This window comes from Homo sapiens, chromosome 7 (assembly GCF_000001405.40).
Source record: "Homo sapiens chromosome 7, GRCh38.p14 Primary Assembly".
Lineage (NCBI taxonomy): Eukaryota > Metazoa > Chordata > Mammalia > Primates > Hominidae > Homo > Homo sapiens.
Genome location: NC_000007.14, coordinates 146,113,312 through 146,140,178, shown reverse-complemented (window position 1 = coordinate 146,140,178; position 26,867 = coordinate 146,113,312). Strand labels below are relative to the sequence as shown.

Below are 26,867 nucleotides of genomic sequence, written 5' to 3'. Positions count from 1 at the left end.
ATGGAATTTTTGGAAATGGAGCTTTCTTCAGCAATAGAAAAGGAAAAATCCATTGAGTCATAGTCTGATACAAAGAAGCCAGTCAAGCAAATGAAAGGGTGGGAGGGACACAGGTATGAAAGTGTTACATTTGATCAAGTCAGACTCCTGTAGCTGCAAAGATATTCCAACAGAGGGCTTTGACTGGACGCTGGAGCTAATGGAAATGCTAGATACCTAAAACTGCTTATGAATTACATGTTAATTTCATACAAAGATAATGCAAAGATGACTGACATTTGTTAAATACCCCCCAAATTGTGCTATTCACTGTGCTATGTACTTTCTATGAACTCAAGCATGTATTATTGCCCCAATTATTTTACAAATGAGAAAACTGATGTTTATGGACCTTAAAAACACTTCTATTTCCACAAACTTCTTAAATAGGGTCCCTTAGTTGAATTTAGGTCTGTCTTATACAAAGACATATTACATTTGTGCAACAAATTAATATTTTTTAAAATAACTGACTGAATGAAGGAATGAGCACACTGAGAAAAAAAAAGAATGATAACTCAACAGCCACAAACAGAAATCTTGAAGCAAATTAATCATAAACACAGAAGAAACTCTTAAGGTGGGCAGAGTTTTGTTCAAATGGAAGTTTGCTACATCTTCTAATACAAACACATCTTCCATAATCTTTCTCATTGATTTTTAGAAACCCTTTTAAATTTAAGTGTCAACAGTCAAAAAGTTATTCTAATATCAATAAGAAAAGATAGCAAAATACAGCACTCTTAAGCCATTTTGTGGTGGGAAAAAACAGCTCCACAGACCTGATTGGTCATTGCAATCATAATTAAAATAGCATAAAAATGACCCCTAACTTACAAGGGTTCAACTTATGATATTTTGACTTTACAATGGTGTGAAAGCAATACTCATTCGGTAGAAACTGTACTCCAAATTTTGAATTTTGATCTCTTTCTGTGCTTGCAGTCTGTGTTATCATAATTTCTCACATGCTGGGAGGAAGAAGTGGGTCAAAGCTCCCAGTCACCCACGCAATCACGAGGGTTAACAACCAATACACTATAGTGGATCATGCTGCCAGATGATTTTGCCTTGTTTTAAGCTAATGTCAGTGTTCTGAGCATGTTTAAGGTAGGTGAGGCTTAGCTATGCTGTTCTGTAGGCTAGCTGTATTCAATGCATTTTCGACTTAACTATATTTTCAACTTACAGTGGATTTATAGGGACCCAATTGCAAACTGGGGAGCATATATTTGATAAGTGTTTGTGGTTATGTTCCAAAGTACTCAGAATTATTTTTACACTGTGGTTGGGTTAAGAAAGCATAGAATATGTAAGCCATTTACAAATGTGTTTCTTAAAGTTCTTTTGGTATGTCATTTTGATGAGGTGAGTTGCATTTATAAAGAAATGTCAACTATGTGAGCAACAGATTTCCCCATGATATCAACTAAATAAAATCTGCCTACACACACACATATGTACACACACAAAAACACATATATTCTTAGAGATATAGAGGATCAAACATGTTATAAACTGAACATGTTGATTAGTCAAACTGAAATGGACTACAAGGTCTACACGTCCAAAGGTTATATTTCTTACCCATAATGAAATGTCCCTAATACTTGTGAATGATATGGTCTATATTGTTCAACATATAAGTTTATTTCATGATCACTTATCATTTACAAATTCAGTAGTAATATTGAAAGAGAACTTAGGAAATCTACATAGTAACATATTAAGTTCTCAGTAATAACAACAACAAATTTATCAATACCAACACTCAAGTAATTAAAAAAATCTTGAGATAAAAACCTGAATATACTTAATAAATCTGTGGTGAGCTGTCAACCTTTCTGTGTTCTTCAGACCTTCCATGTCATTTTAAAATTCAATGCACAAAGTACATTACATTTTCCACATAGTAACATTTTGCACCTACTTCTTCATAGAATTCCCAGACAAAAAATGTTAAAATAACAATGTGACATTTATCATCAATTTATACTTAAAGTTTTATAGTTTTAGAGCTTGAGAATGTTTTCTCTCTTAGGATGCTTTTCTTATATTATGTCACATATCTGGCTTTAGCCTCATGATGTGCAAGGAATGTAGTTTGCAAAAACCAAATTTAACTGAAAAATATTTAAACCTAATTTGAAAAGAATAAAAAAACCCAAACCTCATTATAAATATATTTAAATATGGTGCTCATTAAGAAGTAACTAGATGACCTTTCAGTAAACTTTTAAAGAATTAAATATTAAGTATATATAATTCTTTTCTACATGTTTATTTTTAAAATAAAAACCTTTTGATTAAAAGAATAATTTTAAATTATGATTTTACTTAAAGTGATTTAATTTAAATTGTAATTAAAAGTTAATTTTGAAAAAAAATTAACCTTGGTCTTATCTCTTGGCAAATTACTATAGTAGTTTATGGTACATGAAATCATCTATTTTATGGTACACATAATCATCTATTTTTTAAATTGAAAATAACTCTTCCATGAGTGTTTTTATGCAGAGGCTTTTCTTTAAATAAAATAATGCATGCATTTTCTTCTTAGGCTTTTAATTATAATTTGTAAATAACATAAATTCACAGTTTGCTAGTACAGCGTAATCAAGCAGCTCACCTTCTTCTTTCAAGTCCTAAATATTTCTTTGTGTTGCAGAATATGCAAAAGAAAAAAAATGCCACAGACATTTCAAAAGAAGCAAATATTCCACCTTGCTTTTAAGGACAGATGAAACAGTCCTATTTTCATGTGGCAGATGAAATAAGTAGATATTTCAATAATATATTAACTTCTCCAAAGGCATATATTATGGCCCGAAAGAACTTTTAAAATTATACTTTCAGAACAACTTCGACATTGAAAAATATTCACTTTATGATTTACTTGTTAGTCTCAAGAGAGAACAAAGTTTCAGAGCAAATCGAAATATAAAATTAATACTGCATACTGTGGAAGTATATTAGTTCTGTTTTTATGAGACTTGACAAAGGCTACTCTATAAAGGATACCCCAAGAAAAGTTGGGAAATACCTAACACAGGTGAATAACTGAGTAGTTGATATGGATCATTTGAGCTGTATCCAACATTTTCCCCTTTTCAAATTTTAACAGTTCGTTTTTCTTGTAGTAATCACTCAAAAGTGCCATCATGAGGAATAGCCATGCAGAGCATTTTAATCTCAAATCACACAACTTGGTGCTAAAACATTCTGTCTGTTTCTTTTGCTGGAAATTCACCACGAACAATGGCACTGCTATTTTGACACTTCGAAGCAGGCCCCAGACTAGCAAAGCAACGTAAACCCAACAGTAGAAATCGAATTGCTGGATATTGAATGAGAGGGCCGGCTTAGAGCCTAAATGAGTGTGAGTCACTTAACTGCCACCACCTGCTTCCGCGTTTACAGAACTAGTGCATGGGGACATTACTCAGGTTCTTAGGGGCCCCACCTACTAAAGAACCAAACCAAACCACACCAGACTAACCAACAATCACACCAACGCTGAGCTTCTGTAGAATCCAACCTCGAGAGAGCACAGCATGAACTCTCTACCACCCCTGGTGCCCCTCCACGCCACACTAATTTCCTCTGAACGTTGAAATGCCTATACTTAGAGCAGGTGTGCTCTACTCCCTCTTCTGTCCTGACTTCCCGACCTCAACCAGCTTCAAACATTCAAAGTCTCTGGAAGATAACTTAAGATATAAAATATGTTCATGGTAAAGTTTTGAGGTCCCTTGTGAGTCCATTATCATAGAAAAGACTGACCCTTAGTTGTCTTTTCTAAACTGAAAAATCACCCTAATGGCATAAATGCCACATAATTTATGAAAGGATAACAAGACTATTGGCAGCCATCTGCCATGCTACATGTGGTGATTTCTGGCAGTATGCAATGTAAAAAATCACACTCAGTTACTATTAAGAAGGGCATAGAGTACACTGATCAATCTGATCATCTTCTTAGACTTTTTTTGATACATTTGCTCATGTGTGGAAATGCTTTTTATTAGTAGAAATAATAGCTATAAATAATAAACAATGAATAATTTTAGTAAATGAATGTGTGCTTTACAAACATGACATCACACAATATAATTGGGGGCTATTTACATATCGGTAAGCTTAATATTTTCACTATTATATTAGAATAAAAAGGAGTATGCACACACAGACTATCAAACAAGAGGACAGAGTATTTGGGTAATTGAGATTAGCTTGATTTTGATGGAATTTTACCAGCTTGAACATAGAGAGACAAGCATTTTTTTCTTCCTTGGTATTTTTCTTATTTCATTATAATTACTGGCTTTATTTAAAGGTATATTTCTAATATATTATCAATTACATAGGTATTTTGTTATTATACAGTGATTCAGCATATGTCTAGAAACCTGTATGTCCTGGAAGAAGTTAACTCACTTTCTAAGATTCAGTTTTACTAAGGTAGGTAAAAATATTGTCAATAGGAAACATTAATAACATTAGTTAGGCACTTGTTATTGGTAAGGCAATTTGTTAAGCACCACACTCATATGTATAATATTATTTAAACTTCATAAATAACCTGGAAACTCTATTCCAAATCTCCAGTTAGATATAAAAGCAAGACTGAGGTTTATAAGAGGTGCTTCTCCATTCTCAGACTCAGAAGCCTAGGAGACTAGAATCATAGATTTAAAAACTGGAATGGATTTTAGAGATAATCTAGTTTTATTCTCTCATAACTACAAAAACTTAAACTCTGAGAGATTATATAAATTGTCTAAGGCTATCCAACTAGTTAGTGGAGTATCTACATCTTTCTGAATTTTTTTCGTCTAATCATATCATAGAACTACACTATTATACCTTCTATTTATACCCAAAATAAAAATGAGATATCATAATTATATATTTTTAAAATTTTCTTCCTCTAAAGTGTGCTTCTTAATTTTAAAATAAGTAGGAAATTTTCTATGACATCTTTCATTATAGATTCAAAGTTTAAAATATTGCTACTCAATGTGTGGTCCATAGATCAGTCTCAGCATTAGCATCATCTGGGAGCATGTTAGAAATGTTACATTATAAAAAAGAGTCCAGGACCAGATGGATTCACAGCTGAATTCTACCAGAGGTACAAGGAGGAACTGGTACCATTCCTTCTGAAACTATTCCAATCAATAGAAAAAGAGGGAATCCTCCCTAACTCATTTTATGAGGCCAGCATCATTCTGATACCAAAGCCAGGCAGAGACACAACAAAAAAAGAGAATTTTAGACCAATATCCTTGATGAACATTGATGCAAAAATCCTCAATAAAATACTGGCAAACCGAATCCAGCAGCACATCAAAAAGCTTATCCACCATGATTAAGTGGGCTTCATCCCTGGGATGCAAGGCTGGTTCAATATACGCAAATCAATAAATGTAATCCAGCATATAAACAGAGCCAAAGACAAAAACCACATGATTATCTCAATAGATGCAGAAAAGGCCTTTGACAAAATTCAACAACACTTCATGCTAAAAACTCTCAATAAATTAGGTATTGATGGGACATATTTCAAAATAATAAGAGCTATCTATGACAAACCCACAGCCAATATCATACTGAATGGGTAAAAACTGGAAGCATTCCCTTTGAAAACTGGCATAAGACAGGGATGCCCTCTCTCACCACTCCTATTCAACATAGTGTTGGAAGTTCTGGCCAGGGCAATTAGGCAGGAGAAGGAAATAAAGGGTATTCAATTAGGAAAAGAGGAAGTCAAATTGTCCCTGTTTGCAGACGACATGATTGTATATCTAGAAAACCCCATTGTCTCAGCCCAAAATCTCCTTAAGCTGATAAGCAACTTCAGCAAAGTCTCAGGATACAAAATCAATGTACAAAAATCACAAGCATTCTTATACACCAACAACAGACAAACAGCCAAATCATGAGTGAACTCCCATTTACAATTGCTTCAAAAAGAATAAAATACCTAGGAATCCAACTTACAAGGGATGTGAAGGACCTCTTCAAGGAGAACTACAAACCACTGCTCAAGGAAATAAAAGAGGATACAAACAAATGGAAGAACATTCCATGCTCATGGGTAGGAAGAATCAATATCGTGAAAATGGCCATACTGCCCAAGGTAATTTACAGATTCAATGCCATCCCCATCAAGCTACCAATGCCTTTCTTCACAGAATTGGAAAAAACTACTTTAAAGTTCATATGGAACCAAAAAAGAGCCCGCATCGCCAAGTCAATCCTAAGCCAACAGAACAAAGCTGGAGGCATCACACTACCTGACTTCAAGCTATACTACAAGGCTACAGTAACCAAAACAGCATGGTACTGGTACCAAAACAGAGATATAGATCAATGGAACAGAACAGAGCCTGCAGAAATAACGCCACATATTTACAACTATCTGACCTTTGACAAACCTGAGAAAAACAAGCAATGGGGAAAGGATTCCCTATTTAATAAATGGTGCTGGGAAAACTGGCTAGCCATATGTAGAAAGCTGAAACTGGATCCCTTCCTTACACCTTATACAAAAATCAATTCAAGATGGATTCAAGACTTAAACATTAGACCTAAAACCATAAAAACCCTAGAAGAAAACCTAGGCATTACCATTCAGGACATAGGCATGGGCAAGGACTTCATGTCTAAAACACCAAAAGCAAGGGCAACAAAAGCCAAAATTGACAAATGGGATCTAATTAAACTAAAGAGCTTCTGCACAGCAAAAGAAACAACCATCAGAGTGAACAGGCAACCTACAAAATGGGAGAAAATTTTCACAACCTACTCATCTGACAAAGGGCTAATATCGAGAATCTACAATGAACTCAAACAAATTTACAAGAAAAAAACAAACAACTCCATCAAAAAGTGGGCAAAGGACATGAACAGACACTTCTCAAAAGAAGACATTTATGCAAACAAAAAACACATGAAAAAATGCTCATCATCACTGGCCATCAGAGAAATGCAAATCAAAACCACAACGAGATACCATCTCACACCAGTTAGAATGGCAATCATTAAAAAGTCAGGAAACAACAGGTGCTGGAGAGGATGTGGAGAAATAGGAACACTTTTACACTGTTGGTGGGACTGTAAACTAGTTCAACCATTGTGGAAGTCAGTGTGGCGATTCCTCAGGGATCTAGAACTGGAAATACCATTTGACCCAGCCATCCCATTACTGGGTATATACCCAAAGGACTATAAATCATGCTGCTATAAAGACACATGCACATGTATGTTTATTGCGGCATTATTCACAATAGCAAAGACTTGGAACCAACCCAAATGTCCAACAACGATAGACTGGATTAAGAAAATGTGGCACATATACACCATGGAATACTATGCAGCCATAAAAAATGATGAGTTCATGTCCTTTGTAGGGACATGGATGAAATTGGAAAACATTCTCAGTAAACTATCGCAAGAACAAAAAACCAAACACCGCATATTCTCACTCATAGGTGGGAATTGAACAATGAGATCACATGGACACAGGAAGGGGAATATCACACTCTGGGGACTGTTGTGGGGTGGGGGGAGGGGGGAGGGATAGCATTGGGAGATATACCTAATGCTAGATGACGAGTTAGTTGGTGCAGTGCACCAGCATGGCACATGTATACATATGTAACTAACCTGCACAATGTGCACATGTACCCTAAAACTTAAAGTATAATAAAAAAATAAATAAACAAATAAATAAATAAATGTTACATTATAGGTTCCACTCCAGATTTACTGAATCAGAATCTGCCAGGTAGTTTATATGCATATTAGCATATGAGAATTGCTGCTCTATGAAGTTCGTACTCTTTATACACCAACCTCCCCAATACCAACTCTGACAATGGCCAGTGCTATTATTCAAGGCCAACAGACATCTGTGTATAACCACTTATTGGCCTATGTTCTAAGTAAATTGATCATCTGTAAAGAACGTATTTTAGCAGAGACTGTAATCTCAGATACAATCTGAGATACAGATACTGCATGAGTTTATTACAGATTCTGTATTAGTCCATTCTCGCAATGCTATAAAGAATCTACCTGAGATTGGGTAATTTATAAACAAAGAAAGTTTAATTGACTCACTGTTCCACATAACTGGGGAGTCCTAAGGAAACTTACAATCACGGCAGAAAGGAAAGCAGACACCTTCTTCACAAGGTGGCAGGAGAGAGTAAATTCGAGCACAGGAAACAACTGCCACTTTTAACACCATCAGATTGAGACTCACTCACTATCACGAGAACAGCATGGGGGAAACCGCGCTCATAATCCAATTACCTCCCTCCCTCGACACGTGGAAATTACAATTCAAGATAAGATTTGTTTGGGGACACAGAGCCAAACCATATCAGATGCATAATCATCTAGTACTTGCTGGTTATTGTTTATTTTATGTCAAATTAGATGAAGCCTAAGTCTTTGAAGTATGTTGCAAAGTTAAGCCGCAAAGATGCTGAAAGTTTACAAATTATAAAGCAAGACCTATAATATTCTATTTGAAGGTGCATATTATTGAAGTTCTGAAACAATCTTGTTATAACACTACATTTCTTAAAAACAAACAATTGGCATGGAACCCAGGAAGTCACAAATGTAATAAGAATGAAAGATACATTTTAAAACAATCCTTGGACTTGTTGGCAGCTTATAAATGCATACCTCTCTAATAAAAACTATGTGAGATAATGAATATATTAGTGTTCTGATTTTAGTAATCAGTTTACTCTGTATATCAAAATATTATATTGTACACCTTACATTTATAGGATGAAAAATAAGTTAAATGAGAGAATAAACCTCAGTCGCTATCTCAATGTATTAACAATCCAAATAATTGAAATCTTATTAAAGTAAGCAAACTTTTGAAACAGTAGAACATAGTAATGCCAAGGGGAAATTCTTAAGAATATGAGTCATATTACCTTTATTCACATTAAAAAATAACTACAAATATATTGTAAATGTTGGGTTACAGTTATACTCTCAAAAATGTTATGTGAAACTATGTAAAGATTGGAAACAATATTATTCGTTTTCTTTAAAGTCAGCGATTGATATGGTTTGGCTCTGTGAACCCACCCAAATCTCATCTTGAATTGTAACCCTCTTAATCCCCAAGTGCCAAGGGTGAAACCTGGTTGGGGGTGACTGGATCATAGGGATGGTTCCCCTATGCTGTTCAAATGATAGTGAGTGAATTCTCACAAGATCTGGTTGTTTCCTAAGTGTGGGGATCCTCCCGCTTCATGCTCTTCTCTCTCATCTGCCACCATGTAAGACGTGCCTTTGCTTCCCCTTTGCCTTCTGCCATGATTGTAAGTTGTCTGAGGCCTCCCCAGCCATGCAGAACTGTGAGTCAATTACACCTCTTCCCTTTATCAATTACCCAGTCTCTGGTATTCCTTTATAGCAGTGTGAAAACAAACTAACACAGCAATAAACAATACACTTTGAAATAAAGGTTATTTAGAAAATTGCCTCTTCAAAATGCTTGCTGTTTCAATAACATACATATGTGTTAAATTATCAAAGTTATTTTTATTAGCAAAATTCTCTAAGCTAAATATAATTGAATTATCACAAACTTTAATACTGACCTAAATTCTTTTTAAAAAAATTATTAAGAGGCAGAGTCTCACTCTTGTCTCAGCTGGCTGAAATGCAGTGGTGCAATCATTATTCACTGTAGCTTTGAACTCCGGGGCTCACGCAATCCTTCCACCTCAGCCTCTCCAGTAGCTAGGACTACAGTACAGACACACACCACCACACTTGGCTAGTTTTTAAATATTTCTTTGTAGAGAGAAAGTCTTGCTATGTTGTTCAGGCTGGTCTCAAACTTCTGGCCTCAAGCAATCCTCTTGCCTCGGCCTCCCAAAGTGCTGGGATAATACGCATGAGCCACCACGCCCGGCCCGACTGCCTATATTTCTAACCAGTGAAAATTTCTTTTCTATTTGCTGATAGACAATTAAGCGGGATAATTTACTCTTTCAAAATTTTCTTTTCATTACACGTTTAACAGAAGACTAATTCCAAAACCACTAAATATCTCCTCATCAAAGTGACTTCCAAACTTGGCCAATGTTGGAATTGTGAGGTTGTCCTCTTTTTCTTGGAACAGTCTTTTCCTGCTGTTTGCTTGGCTTTTTCTTTAGGTTTTAGCTAAAATGTTATAACAGAAAGAGTTTCCTTAATCACTCACTGATGACCTTACCTGTGGACTAATTGGAATGATTCAATAATTTTAATTTCTATGTTGTCATACCTATTCAATAAAAGAGAACTTTAAGGTAAATTATTAAGATAGATAAAATATTATAAAATGGACAGTGCAAATAATTTTGAAATTAAGAAAGCATAAGTAGGATATGTGACTTCATAGAAGCATAGAATTAAATGGCAATTTTTAAACTAAAATGTAGAAAACTGAATGTGTTATGTGGAAGCTGATAAAGTGGATAATAAAGAAAATAACTGGAAGATACTTTTAGTTCCAGGTCTAGAAGATTAATCTTTCAAAAACATGCTGATGCTCAATGCATGTTTCTGAGTAGTCCCTCTTTACCCATTTCTTAGGGAGCAGTTGACACAGTACAACTCCAGGAAGGAAATGCTTGAGTAGCTAGCATGGTTTGTCTTTAGCGCCACCACTTGAGACTTTGTCATTTGAAAATCCATATGTGGAAACAAACACAGCATGAGAGATCCTCTGAATACTGTAATTATACACATATAAATGAACAAATAGCAGATCTAAAAGCTTTTTTTGAAAAAAAGGCCCTATTGATGCCAATTTGATAAAAGAAACAATGTCATTTTTATTTGCAATATTCTGAAATCTCTCTTTGAAAGTAGATACATGATTCTAATTGTGCCAACAACACATTTTAAATTCCAAAAATTGATACGTGGGTGATTATATGCTCTGTAAAACGAAAATGCCTCAGATTATTGCATATAATAATTACCTATTTTATCACAATATGAAGACTACTCAAATTGCAGTAACATTTTTCTAATATACTTTGGGCAAAGAGTAGATAATAAATTAAAATTTAAAAATGTTTTATTTCACACTGAGCAAATAAGTATAAACTATCTTTTAAAATAACTGTAGTTGTCCTATTACTTTTAAACAACAGTCCCTTTAAATATTTCTGTTTCATTTTTGGTTTTGACTCATACAGATATGTAAGTTTTAAGGCAGTTTTTTTTTCTGTAATACCAAGATTACTTACAGACACACTTGTTTGCAACTAACATTATATTACAATTATAATACTTCTTAGTATGATGCTTTTAGCTATCAAAACACAACAATGTATATTTGTTGCTATAACCTAGCTATAAGCACTTTAAGAAACAATTTGTATACAGAGCTAACCCATTTCAATTCCATTTTCAATTGTATTTATTTAACACTGGTTGTGTACCTAGAAATATTTGGGTAATTTGGAGGACATAAGTAAATATAAATCACAGTGTTTTAAGGAATGTGTTTGTCTTCAAGGTATTAGTTGGCTATCTATAAAAGTAGTAGCGACTAAGTCTTAAATTATATTTAATTAGATTCTATATTTGTCTTCAAGTATTTTACGGCAGTAGAATATTGGGTAAATATTAAGCTTTTATTTGAGAAGCCCAACTAGAACTACTGGCTGGAATTTATGGGAGTGTAAATCTGTATCAATGCAAGGAAGGACTTGACAAAAGTAAGAACTGTATAAAGATGGAACCAGTGAGCTTTAAAATGCTTGAGCATCCTTATACTTTGAATATTACAGCACAGAGGTATTTGGGCTAATTTCATGTAATGGTATAATGCAACCAGTACAGTACCTAATATGATGAAACATGTTTACTAAAGTCTAGTTCCTTTAATACAACCATTCCCTAATACCTATCAGCCTAAGGGAAAAAATACAGGCTCTGCTCATGCAGATTGTGGACTAATAGAAAAGAGAGTAATGTGTTTTTAGTAGGCATCACTGCAGGGATCATTGTGAAGAATATAAAATTTGAAACAGGCTTCGCTAGACTGGCCAACTTTGAAATGGTTCAGAAGTGTGTACTAAGTTGCAAAGGTAAGGATGAAGACGGAGTTTAAAATATAAACAAATAGAATAGAAGTAACTATTTTTATACTTATAAAATTATATTTTTGTCATATTAAAAGTGGAAATGAAATTCATTGACATTTCATAACAACTTCAACAATATCAACGCATCTGCTGGATTATTACACACTAAATATATATAGTTATCAAGTTTTTCAGAAGCTACAGCTATCATTTAGAAGATTTGGTGACATCTTAAGTACTCTATTTAAAGTACTTGTTAGATGCAATAATTATTTTGTTGACACGTCTTTAATTTGCATGCAGATAACAAATAATTCTTCAGATAATAGCTTGTGGAAAGGACAGTCAGGCTTGGGTTTAAAGGCACGTGATCACCCATGTGGCTTAAGAAAAGCAGAGAAAATCTTTTAAAATAAAATCCGGTAGAAAAAGGGTTGCAGAAGTTGTAAGCTTTCACAGCATGGTTTCAAATTTCCCTTATGATAGATACACATTTACTTATAAAATGAGGAAAATATTTGTGGTTTATTCTTTGAAAATATATTTCTCGCCTTCCTTCTGTTGTCGATACTATGGGGTAATTTCTCACTTTAATATCAGATAATTGGAGGTGGTTTTCATTATTTGTGATCACTGTGTTCCTTATAAGTTCAGAAACCAAAGAATTTGCCTGCTGCGTCTTAGTATTTCACCTGTGATTAGAGCAAATTGCCACAGGGAGGTGTTGATACATCAGTCTGCTCCAAGATTCTGAGGCTTGGACCGTAAATGAGTTTCCTCTAAAACAGCATAGATAAAACAGGAAAAATGAAAGGAGGGGACAAAATGTAACAAGGTATAAGAGAAATATGATTCGAAACAGCATGTTGTGTTAGAGAAACTGCAAAGATCTCAGTATGGTCGGTTAGATTATAGGGTGCAAATGTTGGGTTAGGAGGAGACTAAATTTAAGAGACAGGGAAGAACTAGAGAAATGCAGTACTATAACAAGATTTGTGTTTTGGGAAAGTATTTCTGGCATAGATATAGATGATAAGCTAGAGGGGGAAGATTAGAATCCGGGAGACATACCAGGAGGCTACTAAATTAATGCCTGGAGGGAAATGCTGAAAATCTTAACTATAGAAGCTGTGATAGGAATGGAGAGCAGCGGATGGATACAAGAAATATTTAAGCATTAGGACTGGCAAATATTTTAAAGACAAATATTTTCCCACTGCCATGAAAGCAAAGGAAAAAGTTATTTTCTCAACAGCACTCTCAAGAAAAGCTTCATGGATTAGCTATTGTATGAAATGAATACTCAAAACTGTGCTTATAGATTAAACAATTACCATCTTTTAACTTTAGTAATAGCAATCATATTTACAGTTTTCGATACAGACTTCAACATTTCCTGAGAACTGATTTAAAGACAGCTTTTATGTATACCTGACAAAGCATTTTAAGAAATATTTTACATAGCTTTAAATAAATGTTTTCACTACATGACTATTACATGTATTTCAATAGTACTCAAATGATAGAACTACACTGCAAAAGTACCTTATTGTGAAGAAGAACAAAAATGACATATATATTATGATTTAATGTGCTACCATTGAAAGAGCTGCATTCCTCTCTTTATTTCAAATATATTTCTTTATTTTTTACCAATGTAATTTTTAAGTCTCCAGAACATATGACAGTGTCATCAAGGAATAAGTAAACAAAAAGATAGAAACATTATGCCAATAGGCTTTTTCCTTTATATACAAGCAATCAAGCCTTAAAATGTTGCCTAGATGTAAGCTGAAACTTCTTAGTTAGAGAACTTGAACACAGAGACAGCACTTCACTCTCAGCCAGCTATGCCACAGTGAAGAGCACTGGACCTGGAAATAGGCCAAGCTGGTGGCCCAGGGAAGTTACTTCTCCATGTGTCTCTGATTTTTTCATTTGCAAACTGAAGCATTGTTATAAGAAATAAATGACCTAGTACACATAAAGAGTAGTGCCTGATTTGAAAGGCTGGGAAGAAACATTTAATAAGAAGTCAACACAACAAATATTAGCTATTTACGTAATACAAGCAGAACGTTTTATAAGTATAATATGTACTGCTGCCTGGAGTTCTAGAAAAGGACACTCATTGATTGATGCTGAAAATGTAAATTGTTACAGAATTTGTGGAACTCAATCAGGCAACATTTATTAGCCAAAAACTAAACATCTTCTTTGATCAAGCATCCCTGTCTTTGGAATCAATTCCACAAAAATAACCCCCTCAGTATCTAGAATATTGGAATAAGGTTGTTTTTGTTTATGTTCTTAATGGTAGAAGCAATGTTAATACCCCACCACGGCACATTTTTATCTCTGACACGGTACTATTTTTGTCAACTGACACAATAAAATAGTTATTCTTTTTTTTTTTTTTTTTTTTTTTTTGGAGACGGAGTCTCGCTCTGCTCTGTCACCCAGGCTGGAGTGCAGTGGCGCGATCTCGGCTCACTGCAAGCTCCGCCTCCTGGGTTCACGCCATTCTCCTGCCTTAGCCTTCCAAGTAGCTGGGACTACAGGCGCCCGCCACAACGCCCGGCTAATTTTTTGTATTTTTAGTAGAGATGGGGTTTCACCGTGTTAGCCAGGATGTTCTCGATCTCCTGACCTCGTGATCCGCCTGTCTCAGCCTCCCAAAGTGCTGGGATTACAGGCGTGAGCCACCGCACCTGGCCAAAATAGTTATTCTTAATTCTGTACTGTGGACATACAAAAACACAATTAACTATGCTACTATTTCCTTTTAACTAGTCATAACTTAATAACTTAAATGCTTACGTTAAGATATATAAATAAAACTTACATATACTACAGAAGTGCATGAGGCATGATTAAATTTCATTTTTGGAAATTTCATTACTGCCATTGAAAATCTCTTCTACTATAAGTTAAGCATTCGTTTTAACATATTCTTTAGGGATGAGGACATTAACCAAGTGACTTAAATCATAAGTATACTTTATTAGCTGAAAAACTGCTGGTGGTGGCAATATATATAACTTGAGTAAAAAAGTAAAGTTTTATATTGAATACCAAATCTCATGGGATTATACGTGGCTGTCTGGCATATTGTGTGGAGAAAGATTCTATGGCCACATTCAAATCCACTGAGTAAAATACCATGAGAATTAGTAACATTAGTATTGATGGCAGCATCGAACTCATTGTGTTATTGTTGCTATGAATACATAGAAAAAAACACCCGAATCATGTTTTCTTCAGTTGGTTGGCATTAAAAACACTAAGCTAGTATAATAGTTTCATAATCTGAAAACCTGATAGTCATATTTTATAGTCCAGACATATTTTTATTTGAACCAAAAAATGTTTCAAATATGCTACGTAACAATTTACATTTTAAGTTAGAATTTATTAGCAATTAAGTAATTTAATGCATCATAGGCCATTATTTAACACGTACTTAATAAATTTTTAAAAATAAGACCCATAAAATATGCTATAATTTCACTATGTGACATAATTAGGCTGAAATTTTTTCATGTAGTTCTGTTTATAAATTTTTGACCAATGTCTGAAAAAGACATATATATATAGACAGTCTGTACTTATGTTACTTAATAATTTGGTTCCCATTAAGAGGTGACTGCTTAGAAAAAATCAGTTAACAGTGATAAAATTTAATCCACATGTGTTTTCTGTTAGTTCAAAATAACTACTTCAGTCTATGATATAGAAGTGACAATAAGCACTTTTTTTTTTAAATTTTACTTTAAGTTCTGGGATACATGTGCAGAACGTGAAGGTTTGTTACACAGGTATACATGTGCCATGGTGGTTTGCTGCACCCATCAACCCGTTATCTACATTAGGTATTTCTCCTAATGCTATCCCTCCCCTAGCCCTCCACCCCTCAACAGGCCCGGGTGTGTGATGTTCCCCTCCCTGTGCTGAGGTGTTCTCATTATTCAACTCCCACTTATGAGTGAGAACATGCAACGTTTGGTTTTGTGTTCCTGTGTTAGTTTGCTGACAACGATGGTTTCCAGCTTCATCCGTGTCCATGCAAAGAAATGAACTCGTCCTTTTTTATGGCTGCATAGTATTCCATGGTGTGTACTTGTCACATTTTCTTTGTCCAGTCTATTACTGATGGGCATTTGGGTTGGTTTCAAGCCTTTTCTATTAAAAATAGAAGCACCTTTAATTTTAAGACAATTTTCTTAGAGTTATTATTTTATTTGGCATATCATGGTATTTCACCACTTAACAGACTGTTTTTTTAACAATACAAACTGTGCCTATTATTTTTTTCATGTATTCCTTTCAAATAATACTATAATTGAACAGCATAGATGACATTATAACAGTAAATAAAAATTGTGAGTCCAGGCAAGATTTTCCTTTTCACATACTATTTCAATATGACATCTAATGCATAGAGGTGAACAAATCCTTCCTGAATTTAACTAAACTTTATGTAACTTGATTCCATCTTAGATGTTCCAGACAACACAGGTTTAGTAATTTTGACAGTGCGTATGCCAGTCACACCTCTATTGCCTGCCATTTTCTATGATTCACATTTCCAGATCACCATCCCAGTGCAGATGAAGAAGGTTGTGAATGTACTAGAAAAGGTAAGGAAAAACTTATATATGTTTGGGGAATTTTTCCTGGTAAAAGTATTCTCAGAATCTAATTTCACCTCTTTCCTAAACATAAAAACATTAAAGCATATATCACTATTTATGTTTATGAGGGTATTTCAAGCAAACCTAAATCACAAGGTAAATACAGAATACGGCCCCCAGGAGCTCCTCTGTATTTTTTCAACATTTTTACAGTATACCCAAAATATGTGATCTTCAGCAAGCAAATTCAGAGCCAACAACCACATCTTTATATCTAGATTTCCTACTATCAGGGGAGGCTTTAAAATCTGCAGTGTCATAAAAAATCAGTTACTTCAAGCTGTTATTATGAATAGCTACCTCCAAAGTGAACTAAAGAAGAGTTTAAGAAGATATTTTTCAAAACTTACAATTGAAGAAAGAATCAATTTTGTTTTCTAAGTGCAAATGCTTTGTTGGAAAGAATAATTGGCTTAAAACATTTAACCTTCAGGATTTTACAGAAGGATCATGATGTAACAGCCAACTAAAGGCATATATAATTTACTAAATAGTTACATGGACAGGATGAAATTGGATGTGTACTGGCTAAAGTTTGTAAATAGGCTGTATTTTAAATGGCAATGTTATTTACCACAGATAAAGAAACGGTATTCTAAGCATCTCTGTAAAATAATACCACGGATAGCACTGGGTAGGAATATGAATGAATGAATGAATGAATGGGAGAGTTTGGAAGTCCTAACCAGAGTAACACCAAATCTTCAACTCAATATCAATGGAAAAACCAAGTCTTATTCTTTACTAGTTTCTAAACTATGCAGAAATTATTTCATGTTCATTTAGTTTAATATCAATCTTATTTTTGGCAATTTCAATATATTTGTGGTTTTACTGAGTACAGTCAATCTCAGTCCCTTCTCTGAGTTCTAGATTAGAAAATAACTCACAGAGAGGAAATAACATTCTTTATATAAGTATTGCTGATACAAAAGAATAAGGCTTAAATGTGTGATACAGTGGGATTCATTAACCTTATTTCTAAAATTAAACAGAGTCTCAAGCCATAGGAAGAACCGAACACCATAAGGCTCTTCGCGCTATCACTATTAGTGCAGAGGCAAAGCCTACTTTTATCTATCGTTCAGCAGAATCTATTCTTTCTGCAGGCAGCCTGGAAGGAGAAAGGAGGGGCTGAGCTAAGCACATCTAGGTCCTTTTCCCATAGTCACCAAACAGATAAGTAACTCTACCTAACATAGGAAGGAACGAATGAACTGTAGACATAGACTCTAAGAGTGTGATAGACGGACATTTCTTCCCATAAAATGAACTGTTAGGATGGAGAAAGAGGAAGCACCTCCACATTCCAACATCCTTATCTGCTCAGAACTAAAACATATAGCTTCTACAGAGCCCAGGAGATGGGAAAATCCAGTGTTTTAGTGAATCACTCTGTTACAAGTATTATTTTCAAGGCTTTCATTTGAAAATTAACAGCTGTATATAAATGATTGCATCATTATTCTTACTTATTAAAATGGCAAAAATAAGCATATAATTTATTTCAGCAGCCCAATACTGGTTGTAGAAATATACCTTATGTTTCTGATAACTACTTATCTTAAAATATGTGTCTCTCTAGAAACAGGTAACAGCCAGTTTCAGATACTGGTACAGATATAAATATAAAAATTTATTTTATTTCACACAACACTGGTTTTGAGGCTTAAAATTACTATATACGCTGTTTTATAACTTTGCAAGTAGTAAAAAATGATAAAGTAAAGCACTTCACAAATCAGGACTAGAGATGGGAAAATCTTTAAAGTACATGTTTTATTTCTTCATCCCACTGACATCAATCACTAAACAGACAACTTGCACAAGTTGGATCTCCATATGTTTAATATTTTAAAGAAAAGCACATTTGAATTAAGAATTTCTGAGCCTAGATTCTCTCCTGATTCTGTATACCATTTACAACAAATACAAAAATCTACTTTTTAAAAACAGATGACATGTGTAGACATGTCACATTTCTTCTCTTTCAATCATAAAAAAGATTCACAAGACTAAAAATTAGCCGGGCATGGTGGTGGGCGCCTGTAGTCCCAGCTACTCGGGAGGCTGAGGCAGGAGAATGGCGTGAACCCAGGAGGCGGAGCTTGCAGTGAACTGAGATCGGGCCACTGCACTCCAGCCTGGGCGACAGAGCAAGACTCCGTCTCAAAAAAAAAAAAAAAAAAAAAAAAAAAGGAAGCTTTATGTAAACTTTAAGACATTTGAGTAAGTTTTTGTCTAGAAGAATTTACTAATAAGGAACAGTGAATTAAATCTCAAAGAAATTATAGAACTTGAAAGGTTTTCCCACTTAAAATAGACAAAAAACATATATCATCATGCATTTCCTAACAATAAGGATATATTTTGAGAAATGTATCCTTAGGCAATTTTGTCTTTGTGCCAACATCATAGAGTACACACTCACAAACCTAGACAGTGTAGCCTACTACACACATAGCATAGACTATTTGGTATGGGTTGTTGCTTCTGGGCTACAAACCTGTACTGCATGTTATTACACTGAATACTATAGGCAATTATAACACAATGCCTCTTTGTGTATCTCATCATACTTAAACATGGAAAAGATACAGTAAAAATATAATATACAAGATGAAAAATGGCACACCTATATATGACAGCTCCATTATAATTTTATGGAACCACCAACATACACGTGGTCCATCATTGAACTGAAATGTCATTATGGGGCACATAACTGTAAGATTTAAAATATGATATGCACCAAACAACTTTGATATCATCTAAAATGATACGTTGTAGGTTTATAACTGCATAAAGGTTAATAAGACCTAAATTAAATTTGTGGATTAATTTTTTTGCCCAATTTTGCCATATATTGATGGTAAAGAGTAAAATTTGAACAATGATTCTTACTTCCTGAATATCCGTGCCTATAATAAAATCGAGATTATACATTTCTCTCCAATTAGTTAATAATTATTAGTTGCATTAAGCAAATAATGTGCTATGCTTTATCAACCAATGAATTTTGCTTGCCTAAAGCTCCTTTTAAGTTTAAATTGTTTTCATTAAGACAAGTTCATTATTATGTTCAAGGTCTCTATAAACCAGCAGTATTTGCTTTTATATGCATTTACATATTTTACATTTAAAATACACCATTTTGGGAGAAGTATATGAATTGAGGAAGAGAAAATAGACTAATATACTATTGCTTAATATTGTTGCGTTAGTTACTTAAAATAATTGCACTGGAAAAAGACCTTTCTATAAACTTGTAAACAACTTAAATTCCTTGAATGGTGTTTTAGAAAATATATAAATATACACATTTTTACATATAATACTTAATATATGTGCTATATTAAATATGTATCTATGTACTTTATAACATGTATTCAAATGTTTTTATAAAACATATGAACAAATACATATATATTTATACACATATATATTCATGTGTGTGTATATATACACGTATAAAATCGTATTTGTTAGAGAATATGTGAATTAATTCAAAACACATTTCCCAAATGTGTTGGTCAATGAAATTATAGGTTAATAGTTCTACTAAATGATGTAAATTGGCCTTTATGAGAGATCATTTATTTAAGTGAAAATTCAGTTAACTCTAAAAAGTGAATTTATTAAGCGCTAGCTTAATCTCCTCATCATTTAGAACTGCACCATCAAGGTCTTTATAATATGTTCAAATAAATGCAACTCCCTAAGAGTGAAATATTTTCTTTAAACTTCCCACGTGTGTCCCGTGTATCTACATTTACAGGAAGGGAAGATACACGATTTGTTACATCAGCTCAGCAGCAGTTCATTTTCGCTATCTGCAAAGAAATTAGATTATATTTTTACATAACCATAGTGATGAGCTTTGTTTTCAAGTTTATTCTAGTCTGCTTGTACAACACATAGTATTAACAGTTTTTATATGTCTGTCGACAGAGAAAAAGAAATAAGTCATAAGCAAATACATATTTGAAATGCAGTTGTTGTGAAATAAACATCTTCTGTCCCTCATATTAAAAAGGTATTTAGGAACAGAAAGTTTTAGCATACTCATCACATTTTAAAAATGTGTACCAAAGAAAAATGATAGTTTTAGATTTTCATGCTACTTTTTGTCTTGTGATGACCTCTCCTGGTTGAGTTGCTCATTATCTTAGATTCATGTAGTTTCCATCTTTTTCTCCTTTGAATGTTTTATATTAAGAATATAACTATCATACTTTTCTTCAGAGCTATATATAATGTAAATAAAAATGTTCATTAATGTAAAGTACAGTTGATATTTAAAGTACTGAATCCATGAAACTCATTCTAATCAATAAAGTTCTGTAGCATCCTTATTATTTAATTCATTTCCAGGATATAGGGCAACTTTGCATTTTGGTCACACAGTTTAAATTCAAACGAAATAAAAAGCCACCTTAATTAAGCCATTACACATTTTTAAACAATAGAGAATGAAAGCCAAGTTAATAAAAAATCTTAATGGCCATAACTATTAACCATCTTAAAAGTAATTGTTTCTATGTTCTCTGTCTTCAAATTCTAACTATAAAGTTGAAAACTCAGAAAATATTTATGAAATAACAACTTTTTTATCTTAAAATGCATTAACCCAAGGGCTGCCAGTGTTCCATTTGCTACTCATGGCAGATGTTTCAGATGGACCCATCAAAATTAAAGTATACAGAATGATGGAACACAGAACCCAGGAAAAACCCTGGATATGAGGACCTTCAATCAGTGAATATAATAAATTTAATATATGAGGAGTTTATTTTCCAGGAAAAGTGGCAGGAAATTCTATACAACCAGACCTTGAAATGGAAACAGAAATTTCATCAAACTAGTTTCCCAGTGATAGAGTTACATATTTGTGTAAATATCAACAGCAAGCATTATATCCCCAAAATTTGTTTAAATTTATAAAATTGACATAAATATTAACAATATTTAACTCTTTGTGATTTAACTTGTGTTATAAAAAATGCTATACAATGTTTTCAAGTTCATTACAAACTTAGATTGCCAGTTAGTTTATCTCCTTATCTTTACACATTGTGGGAAAAGAAAAGCTAATACTGTACTTAGGAAGATATGTCAAAACAGTAATACTGGCTCATAACCGGATATTATATAGTAGATTCCTTATTACAACTTATAATGTCCTTTTTCAATGCTATTCCTGTTGATATTTACCACTACAATAAGATCATTATTAACAAAGATGCATTAATACATCCCAAAATCTTAGAAACAAAGACTACTTCGCATATGACGAATTCTGGAAAATATTAAACTTTTCTTTTCCTAAATGGACAAAAAAATCTTCCTTTTAAACTCTGAAATCTCCACGATAATTCTTTATCAACTTACTCATTCTCAGAAACTAGTATGCGCTTATGAATATTATCCTAAGATTCCTATAGGCAGTCTTTCTAGTGTTTAACTCTTTCTGAACCAAAGGAACAATCATGCATTTCCTCTCTACATGCACAGTATGCACTTCTAAAGGAATGCAGAAAATGGGCCAGAATCTTCCATTTCTTTCTAAACCTCATGAAAACAGGGGCAGTCTTAAACACACACACACACAAACACACACACACAGTTGATTAAAATGCAGAGATATACATATTGAATATAATTATTTTCCTGAAAACCCTATTAAGAATCTGTTTATTACTACATTAACGACGCTTTGCACTGAGTGTCCCAAGTACCGTACTGCATCAGTCATATCCATGATATCAAAGTATCAAAGAATTAAAGCAATTTCAGTTACAATTTCGCTGCCTTCCATTTTAATAAGCAAGTACTAAATGGGCATTAACTTTTTAAGGGAACGGGAGAGGTTAAAGAGACCCTATAGGTGCCCAAACTGTTTAAAACATGCTCCTCTTGTTAACCTCAACCCCGTGCTCATTAAGTTATAACCATAAATAAAAATAAGAAACTTGGTTTTGCCATGGTCTTCACTTTTCATTCACTGACCTACCTAAGCCAAATGCAGTTAACTCTCCCTGCACAAACAACTCCTAAGAAGCTGCCATCTACATCAGTCTCTCTAGCCAAGCTCTTGCCAACCGATCACCAAGACCAGGAACAACTTTCCAGAAACATCACCAGCGTCACAACCCTGTCTCTTCCAAAACAGAAACGCTGGGTTTCGAGTTTGTCTACTGCAGTGGCTGCAAGTGTGTGACAGCGGAGACACAAACACATCAGGGTGCCAGCACTGCGATGCACTTCGGAGTTGATACCCTGGTGCCAAACATCAATGCCGCACTGAAACTGCTCCAGAGCAGAGCGAGGAGACGGCTACTTACGGGACGTGGAGGGAGCCGTCCAGGCTCTGCAGAGGCAGCTGCTGACAATCCACAGCAGGAGCGCTGCCCCGCAGCCGGCGCGCGGAGCCGCCTGCATCCTTCGCCTCCCGGCCGGCGGCGCTCCAAGAGCTCGCTGCGGAGATGCAGTCCGACTCTCCGTAGGGTTCTTGAAGGGAGATGGGCTGTCCTCAAATACGCGAGGAAGCCAAGCCCCTCCCGCTTCCTCTTCTCCCCTCACCCCCCTCCAGGCTCCAGTTCTTCCGGGCTTGGAGCGGCAGGGGAGTCTCAGCCTTCGTTCTCCCTCCGTGCGGGTATTGCCTCTTGCACTGTGTGCCAGTGCAACGCCGGGGGAGGAAATTCAAACCAAGAAGGCAAAGGAGGGGGAAGAGGGGAGGGAACGGACACCTACCCCGCCCTCTCCTTCTTGAAAAAAAAAAATCACCAAAGGACGGGGGAGGGAGGTAATCAGAAGAGCAGAGGCTGCAGAAGAGGAAGGCAGAGCGACGGGGACGGTGGTGCAGCTGTTGCCACTGCGGGCGAGCGCTCCCTCCGCCGCCGGGCAGCGTGACTCGAGGGGTTTCCACTCGCCTGTCAGCTCACATGGAGAGCTTGTGTATGTGGGGAGCGCGCAGCGCAGCCGGGGCGCACGCACGGCCTCAGCGCTGCGCCGCGCGAGGAAGCATCTCCCGGGCGGCGGAGCGCGAGCAGCAGCAACAGCCGCGGAGAGCAGGAGACGCCGCCGCCGCCGCCGCCGCCGCCAGCTCCTGTGAGCCCGGGCGGCGAGCGAGGCGGAGGGAAGCCCTCCCTTCTCTTCCCTTCTCGGTTCCCTCCTCGGCTCCTCCTCCTCCTCCGCCTCCTCCTCCTCTTCCTCCTCCTTACCGTACCCCTCTGGCTGTCAAAACCCTTCTGCCCTGCCCTGGCCTCGTTTGAAAGCAAAAGGGAGACTGAGCCGACCGGCCGGGGTCCATCAGCTGGGGCGGGGGCGGAGCAAGGAGGCGCGCGCCTCTCCCTGGGCGGGAGGTGATGCTGTCCGCGGTGCTGAAGTTGGGGATTTGCCGTGTAATCCTAGAACCCTGCTCCAAACCTGGCTGCCCCCTACCCGGCTGCAGGAAGGAGAACACCCTCGCTCGGATGCCTTCTCCTTTCCTTCTCTCCTCCCCTTCAGATAAAGATGGTACAGGCTCCTGGAGCTCCGGCCCCCCGGGAACCACAGTCAGGCGTCCGACAGGCAGGTCTTCCGAGTGGTCCTAACACCAAGTGACGGTGCTAAACATCCCGACTGACTGGAGCAGGGAGGGAGGACTGCAGATGCCGTTAATGCACATGTTTTCGATATGTAATTAATTCGTACTCATACATATGCACACGTACACCAAACACACGCTGCTGCCAGGAGAAACTACACTTAGGCAAACACGCATACAAACACAAACACAAAACGGAAATACATAAGCAGGCATATGGGTAACTATTTCAAGGTACCTGAGGCATTGCAAGCACTAAGAATTAAGAATGTTTAGAGAGACCTAGATTTTTTCACATTTAGATAATTTTAATAATAATTATCAAGCTCTTCTCCCCAGCTCACAGCTCTTCACACTCTACCCTCCATATGTTTTTCTTCCATCTAGTCTACTTAAAGTATTTGAATTCTTATGTCTCTGCAGAGCCAAGCATTCCACTGACTTTATTGACACAATTAAAAATTATTGGTCATCTAAATATCTAATGATGTTTGTGGAGGACTAAGTAGGAGTAACCATGTCTTTCGATGTTATGCAATGAATAAGCATTTGCATTTAAAGATAAATAGAAAATTTATGGAGGCTTGCCTAATCCTGGAATAAACTGAGTTTTTAACATCATTGTTTGGTCTTAGAAAGGTCCACTGTAAATAGTACTGTGTATTCACTGCATAATTAATATGGTGTTAATGGGTCTGATTCAGCGCTTTTTATTTGATCTTTGTTTCTTGTTAATTTAAAAGGATGCTTTGTCCTAGTAAGAACTGCAGATTGGGTACAATATGGAAAATGAAGAAACACACAGATGACTAATGGGAGGTGAACTGCCTCCTCATTCTATAAAATACTCCTCCTGTAAAATAATACAGCAAATGCATTCTTATGGATTATAAAATGTCCCTTTGCTGTTTGAATTATCACAGACTGTCAAAAGTCAATGACCACTTGCCAAAACACTCCAGTAAAGAACTGCCATCAGCCATTTCTAAGAGCTCAAAGAAACAAGTCATAGGAAAAAAAAAAACTGTCAGAAAGCGTAACTTTTCAGAACAATCTATTATTTAACTATGCCTCTCCATTTTAACTATCATACTGAACTCCAATAACATAGCATTAAAGTATTTTCAATAGAAGAAAAAAGGCAGCGATTGAAAGTATTACCATTTCAGTAACTCAATGAATGCTATTCCATGGGTATCTCAAGCAGAACTGAAACAATTCCATTTCCCAGATTACCAAACTAAAAGACATGCAATAGACATCTATTTAATTATTTTGTAACAGAAAATGATATACCTGAGGGTGTATTCTTCTCCAAAGAGCATTCTGATCAGTTTGTAGTAATTTCTCCTAATGAGAAACAACAAAACTCAATTTAATAACACATGTAAATACCTGCACCACCTCTGTGCCATATAGGATGGTCTTATTTCATGCCAGTATGAGCTAAGAGCCTGCTTTAATCTGTTTTCAATGCACTTTGTCAGGTTTGAAAGTTATGTCACATCATTTGTAACACAACTACCTCTGCCTTCAATTTGTGTTAATTAGATATGGACATCTGGAACTCAAAATACTTAAAGTCTTAAGACTTTAATTGTTGCCAGATCAGAGACTCCCTAGAGTATAATGCTATGTTCTTCCTATCCAACTCCATTAGAGTTTATATTTTCATCATTATTACAATTAGAATTTAGAATTAAGCTTCTTCTTCCTTCAGTTATCACTATGACTTTTAGTGAGAAGGTAGGAATTAGTAAGTCTGTTTGTTCTGGTCAAACTACACGGTCCAGCAAAACTGGTAATCCAGTCAATGGACTTACAACAGTCCAACCAGATGTCTAGTAGATATGATAAGCATGAAATTTCTTGTTTCTGAGAGTGAATTCATTATTGATTTCTATATTACATTGATGTTTGCAAATAATTGAAGACAGCTAATAATGATTTGAACATATGTCTCCTTAGTTGGAAGTAAGGTCAATTAAAGCTTGAAAGTAGTAAAACTAAGTGGACCAACGGTACACACACACAAACCCACCCACCGGCCCCCCCACCCCAGCCCCACCTCCCCCAAATGCACAGCATGACCAGAAAAGACAGTGGGCAATTTGCATTATTTTGGAAGTAGAGCAATGGAAAATAATAAAGAATAGACATTTTCTCTTTCCCACTGCTCACATCCTCTTTACTTCAACAGATTTTTAAAAAATGTTAGCTTGATCCCATGAGTAGTGACTTCATTAGCAGTATACACATTCTTCATTTGCATCCCCAATATTAATTGAATATCTACTATTATTGGGTTTGGCATTATGCTACATAGAGTTTATGCCTATGACCAAGATGGATATTACACTGGTAGTGAGTGGTTGAATAAACGGACCAAAATAAGTCCATATCATCTTTATGCTAACA

General features: G+C 35.6%; 1 protein-coding gene across 2 annotated transcripts in view; it reads right to left on the bottom strand.

Moving 5' to 3' along the window:
• The window catches only part of CNTNAP2 (contactin associated protein 2), a 2,304,198-nt gene extending 2,280,820 nt beyond the window's left edge, over positions 1-23,378 (bottom strand). For both annotated transcript variants that reach the window (NM_014141.6, XM_017011950.3), the window contains exon 1: positions 23,206-23,378. In NM_014141.6, coding sequence (NP_054860.1) covers positions 23,206-23,302 — 97 coding nt within the window. In that variant the 5' untranslated portion in view covers positions 23,303-23,378. The remainder of the gene's footprint in view (positions 1-23,205) is intronic.